We start from the raw sequence: 9,347 nt of genomic DNA on the forward strand, positions 1-9,347 counted from the left end.
TTTTCTTACCTCTCATTGTCCTTTTCTTCCCTAGAAGGACTGGCCACCATGTCCTCATGATCTGGCTGCTTCGTTCATCCTGACAGAGAGTCAGGACCCACCTTCCAGAGCATTCTCAGTCTAGCTGCTTCTCTAACTGCCCAACTTAATATCCTGCCTTAACTTCCTCCCATTAGGGAGTCAGGTCCTGCCTCTTTGCTCAATATGTTTTTCTCATGAAAATCAATTTCCCTGAAGCCTGTTTCCCAAGGGTAATATTTCCCCCTCCCCTGGGAAAGTCAAACAAAACAGTTGAGTATACAAGAGCATCCAGACTGTCCTGTGCCAACAAATTTCTCACCAAACCCCGAGTTCTGAAGTTTGTGGGTTCAGAGGAGCAAATTACTACTCTGAAAGCCAAACTTCTCTGCCATGGTAATGAACAGGGCCAACCCTCAGCAACACTGGGGTATTGGGAAAGATTTTTCTGCAGCTACATTTCCTCTCGCTTTAGCACATTGCACCTTAGCTAATACTCATTTCATACTGTCTCTGAACCCTTTTGCCATCTCTCCACCTCTAGGTCAGTACTCCTAGGAGTTCCTTTCAAAATATTATTTCCTCTTTAAAAATACACATTGCAGTTAAATACACATTGATTTTTAAGGAACTCACTTAATATAAAACCGAATATAGGCCTGTGGTGGAAATTTTGCATATAGTAGGCACTGAATAGTTGCTGACTAAACAAAATAAAGATCTAGAAATATAATTAGTTCCTCCTGAGTATGTTCAGTAATGAATCAATAGCAAACAGAAAGTGTTTTCAAACTTACACCTACTCACCCTCAGCTCAATACTCCTAGGAGGCCCCTTCAAAATCTCAGCCTACAATCAGGCTTTGATTTGTAGTTGTTTCTTGAACCCATAATGAATTTGGGATTTTTTGAATGAGGAGGTACAGAGCCTCATTACTGAACTAGCTATGATGGAAGAGTTTACTGAACAAATTCATGTTGTAAACAAGAATGCAAGGTGTCATACTTAACCTCCCTAAGAGAACTGAACACACCTCGTATAAACCAATGTTGCTGATTACAAATTACTTATGTCTGTTCCATAAAGCAAATACCTCAGTTCTTTGATAACATTTTAAAGCTGTTAATTTAAATTACTGAATACACTCAAGAGGAAAATAATTGCATTTTAGATTCCCAACATATTATTCAGTCAGAAAATATTTACTGAATGTCTACTACATGGATAATATCTCGCTATGGATATATCTTGAATTATATAATAAGTGTGCTCTTTAAAAAGTATATACCTTTAAACTTTTGTAAAACTGCTTCAATTTCAAATGCATTAGAGGTGATTTCCAATAAAAGACGTCCTGTAGGAAATTGTGAAAGAGTGAGGAATGTTTTATAACCACTTCTCTGATTCCTATGGCTCTGTTTTATAAATTTAAATTTTTAAGATTTTCTCAAAGCGAGTCATCCCTGTAATTTAAATTGGCCTTTATCCCAATTACTTTAATTTGGTAATGTGGAACTCTGGATTTCAGATAGCATCAGGGAAACATACACCTCTACACCTCTAAAATCTCTTTGGTAAGACAAATTCAGAAAGCACGCTTCCTTTTTGTCTAGTACAGTATGACCTTTTTCTCTAAGGAAGGTCTTAGAAGCAAAAGCTGGCTTCATTCTTCTTAGAATGCATCCTTAGGGAGTTCACTAGATGTATTTTTAGGGCCTTTCCCATATATATGTTTCTTAGGGTAAAAGCGAGGGATTTCAATCTGGGGGGTGATCACACGGTAGAAAAGACAGGCTGTAGGGTTCCCAGTGATGCTTCCCCCACAAAAGACCCAATTCAGAGGTGACTGAGCAGGTAGAGAAAGCAATAGGACTTCCATTGATGTGGGGGATCACAGAATGAGGATAGCAGTGTGGATATTTGATACCAGAGACTATAGCAAAGGGCTCACATCCACTGTGCAAGTGCTAAGAAAAAGGGACTCCTCTGGAGAACAGGTATTGATTTAAACAGGAGTAGTAGTGGAGTGGAGTGGAGAGAGCACATTCTTTAAAGTCGGAAAGAACTCATGAAATCACAACTTGGCCTCTTATAGTTGGATGACCTTGGGCAAAATTGCTTAAGTTCAGTGGACTTCAGCTACCACATTTGTAAAATGGGAACAATACCTACCTCATTGGGTTGTTGTGTGGTTTCAATGCAAGTGCCTTGTGTGCAAAGTGCCTGCTAAAATAGATGCTCAATAAATATTAGTTCCCTCTCTCCTCTCCTCTTTCATTTTTTTTTATGAAAGAAAATGATGATCGCTTCATTTACTGCAGAGAATGGCAGCTGGAATGCCAGCGTGATGTTGTGATTAGGATACAGGAACTGAGAATCAAGACTTCTTGCCAAGTGACATGTAAAATTCAAAGTTCATAGAAGCCTTATTTACTAGGCTATACATTTCTTGGGGGCAAAGGGCTGAGTCTATCTCATTTCTCTCTGTATTCACACAGTTCGCTGAATGGTAGAAAATCCAGAGGACACCAATCAAGCTTACAGGTGATCTCACATGGGGATATCTCTGCACTTAGCAGAACTTATTTAGGAGAAGCCAAGGAAAGAAACTTTGAAAATTGGATCACTAGTTCTCAAAGTTTAGTTGTACACTAAAAGCAAAGTTCAGGCTAGACAATCTTCAAGAGCTAAAGAATGTTATTGATAGAGAGTGGTGATTGGTATCTGAGCAGGCTAGTAAGTGCCATTACATAAAGGAGTCTAATTTCCTGCTCTGTATTTTTATCACAGGTTCCAGATGGAGAATTGGATCATAAGTTTAATGAACCCCTCTCATAAGAATTTGTAGTAGATAGGAGGGTGGTTTTCATCAAAGCTTAAGTGGTAAGGACAAAGGGACAAGATCTGAGGTTGTCATAGGAACCTCTTTCCCCTCAAGGGCCATCAGCAGGATTAAATAATGATCATGGTTCACACTGGCAAGACTAACGACCAGGCAGTCGGGTGAGGAACAAGATGGCAAAGAAAATGAGTGGGAGTAGGAGATGGGGGAAGAAAGAAAGGAAAGAAAATGGTGTTAATGCTACGACTAGCACTTTTAATCACTCAATAGTCATGCTTTATCAATCTCAGAACCCTCTATATTTTCTCTTTTTACCACTTAGGCATGTAGCCTCCAGTCAGGCAATGGCTATTTACTAAGTGCCTATTCCATACCACGTACTGTGATAGGTGCTGTGGTGATATAGACATGATCAGAACATGGTTAGACTGCAAAGGAGCTTTAGGTCTGGCACAGAAGGTGATCGCTTTATGCCAGGGTGGGATGAAAAATGCCAAGAGAGGGGTTCAAGCAAAGTGCTAGAATTAGAAGTAGAGAAGGCTTCCTTGAGAAGGTAACACTTGAGGTGTTCCTTGAAGGGTGCAAAGGACTTCAGTAGGTGTGATTGGAAGAAGATATTCAAGGCAGAAAGAATGACTAAGCAAAGAGATGGAAGAGTAGGATAAAATGATAGTAAACTTCTTTTTCTGTTTTCTGTGCACCAGGCACGGTGGCGAGCACTCTAGATGCAATACCTCATTTCATCCTTATAATAAACCTATGAGGTTAATAATATTCCATTATTATCCCTATTTTATAGATGAGGAAACTGAGGCCAGAGAGGCTGTATAAATTTCCAATGTTGCACAATTATAAAGTGGCAGAGCCAGGTTTTTAACTCAAGCCTATCTGAGCCCAAAGCCTATGCATACAATTAACCAATACACTAATTGCGAATCAGGTTATGGAAAGGAGTGAAAGCATAGTGTGTCTACAGCACAGAGCCCATGGAAAGGAGGAAAGGGAGAGGAGAATAGAAATGTAGCTGCAGCCAAACTGTGGGGCCTCTTTCCTGGCAGCCTAAGGGGTGGGGCTGGATCTTTTAAACAATGGGAAATCATAGGAAGTTTTAAAGTAGTGGAGTGACAGTAAGAGTGGTGCTTTAGGAAGATTAATCTGTCAGCAGTGCAGAGGATGGATGGGAGAGCGGAGTGATTGGAGGCAGTTAAGAGGCTATTACAATACAATAGTCCAAGCGTAAGGTAGGGTACACCCTTTTCTTGAGCTAAGAAATCCAAAGTGGTGAACAGACAGAGGAGAGACATTGTGAAGGAAAAAGAAAAAGAAGTCCATGACTAACTAGATGGGGAGAGGGGAGTGGTGGTGAGGGATTGGTAGGGATAAAAATTAAATAAGGAAACTGAGGTTTGGAGCCTTTCTGACTAGAAGAATAGTGATGCCAGTCACAAAGTTGAGGGATGGCTACCCTGGAGAGAAGTTTCAACTTAAGAATGAAACTGGGATAAATCTCTAAAGGTGATCTTTGCAATAATAGAAATGAATGGGATCCGCTTGAGAAGAGAACAGTCAAGGGCAAAAGCTTGGGGGATGCCTCCACCGAGGAGGTATGGCTAGGAGGGATAGTTAGTAATGGGGATAGGCAAAAGAGGTCATGGGGTAAGGCGAAGAAACAGGAAATCATGAGAAAGAGGTTTCTAGAAGGTTGAGTGATGAACAATGTTAATATAGTAGAGGGGTCAGAGAGAAAGAAGGATGCAAAGATACTGTTGAATTTGGTAATTAGAAGATCTTTCCTGAATTACCAGGAGCAGTTTCAGGATAGAGCCAGATTTCAGGGAGTGAAGAAGGAAAAGAGTAGGGGTGACAAATTGGAGACAGTGACTCTAAAAAATTCTCAGGAGAATTTTTGTGGTGAAATTAAGGAGCAAAACAGATACTTAAAGTGTGCTCAAGTATTGAAAGATGATCTCAGGGTAAGGATGACCTTAGCACAGCTAAAGGAAAATGTTTGTTAACTAACATTTGTTAGTGAAGATGTCGAGATTAAAGACGTGTGGTGAGGTCAGAGGTGACTGTGGCTGGAACAAGATTCTGCTGAAGGCGAGAAGGGATAGGGTCATGTGCCAGGTGGAATGTTTGTTTTGGCAAGTATGGTGGTGGTATCGTCCTTGGAAAATACAAAGAGACAAAAGAGGCCAACTAAAGATACAGAAATATTTGGAGATGGAGAGAGGGCATTAAACTAGAAGCATTCTGCATTTTCAAAGAAGTTTGTGCACCGTGCACTGGCTGGTCTTGGTGTTACCAGTAGATTATCTGTAGAATGGAAGGCAAGTGGACATGGGACTGAGAACTTCAAGAGTGTGTGTCTCCCTCAATTGATACAGTACCTGGCACACAAAAGGTGTTCAATAAGTATTATTTGGAATACATAAACAAACAAGATCTACAAAAGTCACTAAGAGACACAAACTACGATGTCATAGAAAGTGAATTTAAAAATTGCAGAACAACATTCACTGGAATGGTTAAGATGAGAAAGAAATGATACCATAGTTGGCGAAGACGTGCCACAAGTGGAATGTCTGTACACTGCTAGTGAGAGAGTAAATGGATACAGCCACTTTGAAAAACTTTGGCAAGCCTTATCTACTAAAGCTAAACATATGCATGCTTCATGATCTAGCAATTCCACTCCTAGATATATATCCAAGATGAATGAGTGTTTTGGTTCACCAAAAGACATGAGCAAGAATGTCCATACCAGGACATAGAAATTAATGCATCATAAAGTTTAAATGGCCTGCTTGAGTCCACTCAGGTTATAAATGGTAAGTCTGATACTTGAACTCTGGGCTTTCTTGCCACAAGTTTTTATTCAAATACCTCCAAAGGCTACTGGATACTGTTTATATAGTCAGAACTTTACATACGTTGTTGCTAATCTGCCCAGTCTTGCAGTATGTATATTATTGCTCTCATTTTACAGATTAATAAACTGAGGGCCAGAGAATGCTTACTCAAAGTCACTTGCCCCAAATGGTGGGTATATATATTTCTTGAGAACTGAGATGTGAACTTAGTTTTACCTGGCTCCAAAAGCTATGCTTTTTCTCTCCCATCAAGGAGTGGAGGCTTTTCTTATGTTTTGGCAAGTTGCAAGAAGGAAGTATGGTGGGCTGAGGTAGTTGAAATCATAAGAAGAGTTCAGTGAAAGAATCCTGTCTTGCCTGTCTTCGCTGCCAGTAAAACCAAAGCCACAGCCAGGTAATGTCCTCCCCCAGTTTTCCTCTGTGACCCACTCACATTATTGTTAAGGGCCTGGGAGACAAGGATGACTCTAGGCATAGTGATGAAGTAGTAAACACTCATCTTCTTTGTCATTCATCTTACCTATTGTAGGCAACCTATTAACACGTATATTTAACAGACACATGCATACACACATTTGCATGTACACATGCACACACCTGTAAAGCTATTTCCTTAACAATCTAACTTTTCTAACTCCAGAAGAATTATTAAATACTCAAAGAAGTGTTTATTTTTGAGGTGACTTAAGCTATCCATTGCAGGAATACAGATCAAGAACACTCCCCATTCACTTGGGTTCCTGTTCTAATTCCCTTCTCACAGCGGGTGTTCTGAGATGTGTGGCAATTATCTCAGGCTCTAGGTTTTCCTCATGCTAAGAGTATCAGAACACCCCTAATTCCTCCACATCCTAATATTTTCTTCCTAAAGAGCCCCCTGCCTGACCTTGAATCATTCATCTTTAATAAAAGCAATCCTGAGGTAAGAGATCCTAGCCAAGGTGGACTGAGCCCTAAAAGACAAGTTTTGAGGTCGCCAAGTTGGGTGTAGAAGCTCTGACCTTTGCCAGGTCTTTCCTTACTCCCAAACAAGAACCTTGCAGTACAAGCCCAATTGCTCTCTCTGTCCCTTCCCTCCCTGAAGTCAGGTGTCTCAGGCTCAGAATATGAGAATTAGTTGTCATGGTAACCTGTGACTGTGCCTGATAGCCTCTTCTCTTCTCTCAGCCAGTTCTAGGACCTGGACATCTGTTCTCAGTTCACCTCTTCTAATGTTCCTAAATCTAAGCCCAGGACTATATGCCAAGTTACACAGTTTCTGTGTGAGGTGGTGAAGAGGCCTTCCCCTGCATCCAAGGCAAGAGAAACAAGAAAGAGAGAATGGAGTAATAGGAAACAGTGCTTTAAAGAAGCTATCAGGGAACAGGGAGGCCAGGGCTACTAATTAAAGTTAATATATACACCTACTATGTACCCACAAAAATTAAAAATTAAACAATTCTTTAAAAAGTTAATTAAGCACTTACTATCTGCCAGTCACGGTAATGTCTTGTCCATTATTTCACTGATTTCTCTCAAATGACCTTATGAAATAAGTATTATTATCCCCACTATACAGATGAAGGAAATGGAAACTCAGAAAGGCAAATGGACTTGCCTAACATTGCACAGCTATGATTTCCACTTGGTCCTTATCCAAGTTTCCAAAACCCAGTCTCTTTGGATTACACTAGTTTATGGTTCATCATTTCTTGGAAGGAAAATAAGAGCTGCAGACAAGTCTTTCCTCAGCCCCTGTGCCTGTGAATCCCTCACAGCCTTTCCCCAGGAATAGATCCCCCACTTCAAATGCAGCCCCTCCTCAGACACCTTCTCCTCCATAGACTCCTTCCTTCCTCTTAAGTCACCTCTTTCTATTCTCCTGAGGCTCTCTACAATTGCCCTCTGGCCAAATCCTTGCTTTTCCCACTTTCTCTGGTAGATCCCTGACCTTTTCTTTCCTAAGGTATATCTTTAATGGCATGTCAAGGAGAGTAGGGTAGGCCAATTTCCTGACACAGGCGGAACAAAGGACATCTGTATTAGTTTCCTGTTGCTGCTACAACAAATTGCCAAAAATTTAGTAGTTGAAAGCAATATAATTTGTTCTCTTCCAGTTCTGCAGGCCAGAAGTCTGAAATCAGTTTCACTGGGCTGAAGTCCAAGTGTCAGCATGGCTGTTCTCCCTCTAGAGACTCTGGAGCCACCTTTTTCTGCTTTTGGAGCTGCATTCCTTATATTCCTTGGCTCACAGCCCTTTCCTTTATCTTCAAGGACAGCAGTATAGCATCTTCAAGTACTTCTTTGCTTCTGTCAAGCCTTTTCCTCCGTTCTCAAATTTCCCTTTGCCCCCCTCTTTAAGGACTCCTGTGACTACATCTATGGCCCGCCCAAATAATCCAGGGTAATCTCCCCATTGCAAAATCGTTAACATAATCACATCTGCAAAGCCTCTTTTGCCATATAAGGTAACATTAAGAGGTTCCAGGGATTCAAACCCAGAGATCTTTGGGGGCATTGTTCAGCCTACACAGCATCCAAAAAACACAATTTTAGTCTTGCACTGGGGACCAGTTGTCCTTCATTTCTGGAATGGATGAACCAGGAGCTCAGGAGTTAGGGTAAAAGGAATAAGCATGGATTAAGTTAAGAGAGTTATATAAACTTGAATTTTGCTGAAATGAATCCAGGTAGGGCAGGTGATTTCTGAGAGAGGGCTCTTTACTTACACACTGCCCCTCCAGAGAGAGGTGGAAAGGAAGGTAGGACTGAGAGGTGAAAGATTCTTATCTTCTCCTTTCCAAAACAGTTGCCTTATTTGTTCTTCTCTTTCCTGGGTGGTTTCACTGGGCAGAGAACAGTTGAGAAAAGGGTGACACTCTGGCTCCAGAGACAAAATGAAGAAGCTAGAACGTCTCTATAGCTGACCTCTCTTCTCCCTTTCCACCTCTATATTTAGTCTCCTCTTTCCCCGTCCTTGTTGTCAACCAGATGCTTCCTGCTTGTTGAGAAGTGAAGCTACAATGAAGTGAAGCGTGGAGTAATGAATAGTGAGTGAAGAAGAGGAGGAAGTTTCTTTAGGAGAAGCCCTCATGTCAGCCCACTTCAGGCCAGAGAAAAGCCTCCTCCAGCAGGCAGTCTTAGGGAGGTGTGGAATTTGGGATAGCTGCCAAGTAGAGTGACCAAGAGTTACAGGGTCACTCCTTGATAACCATTCACTTCTCTTCCTTGGTACTGAACATTGCTATCTAGTATATGGGGATCTTCAAAAGTCCCTTTCCACAAGTTTCTCTGCATGATGATTACCTTAAGGAACAATTTTAATCACACCTGGCAGATCTGGGCTAAAGCCTGGCAAAACTAGTGGAGAATGGGAATTTGGGGAGCTCAGATTTTGAAAACCATAGAAAGACTGGTTGGGATGGAAGTGTGGGGGCATGCCTGATCCGGGACTAAATTTTCATGGTCTTGGAGTGTCAACAGCAGCATCACAAACTCAGTGAGGTTTTGATTTATGAGCACCAGATGCAGAGTTGTGAACTGACGATTTTTGTAGAGTTAGCAGCTGGCTCCCCATATTTTGTTTCTGTTCCAGGACATCATCTATTATGTTGCTCAATGCTCCTCCTTATATA

Source organism: Homo sapiens, chromosome X, assembly GCF_000001405.40.
Source record: "Homo sapiens chromosome X, GRCh38.p14 Primary Assembly".
NCBI classification, from domain to species: Eukaryota; Metazoa; Chordata; class Mammalia; order Primates; family Hominidae; genus Homo; species Homo sapiens.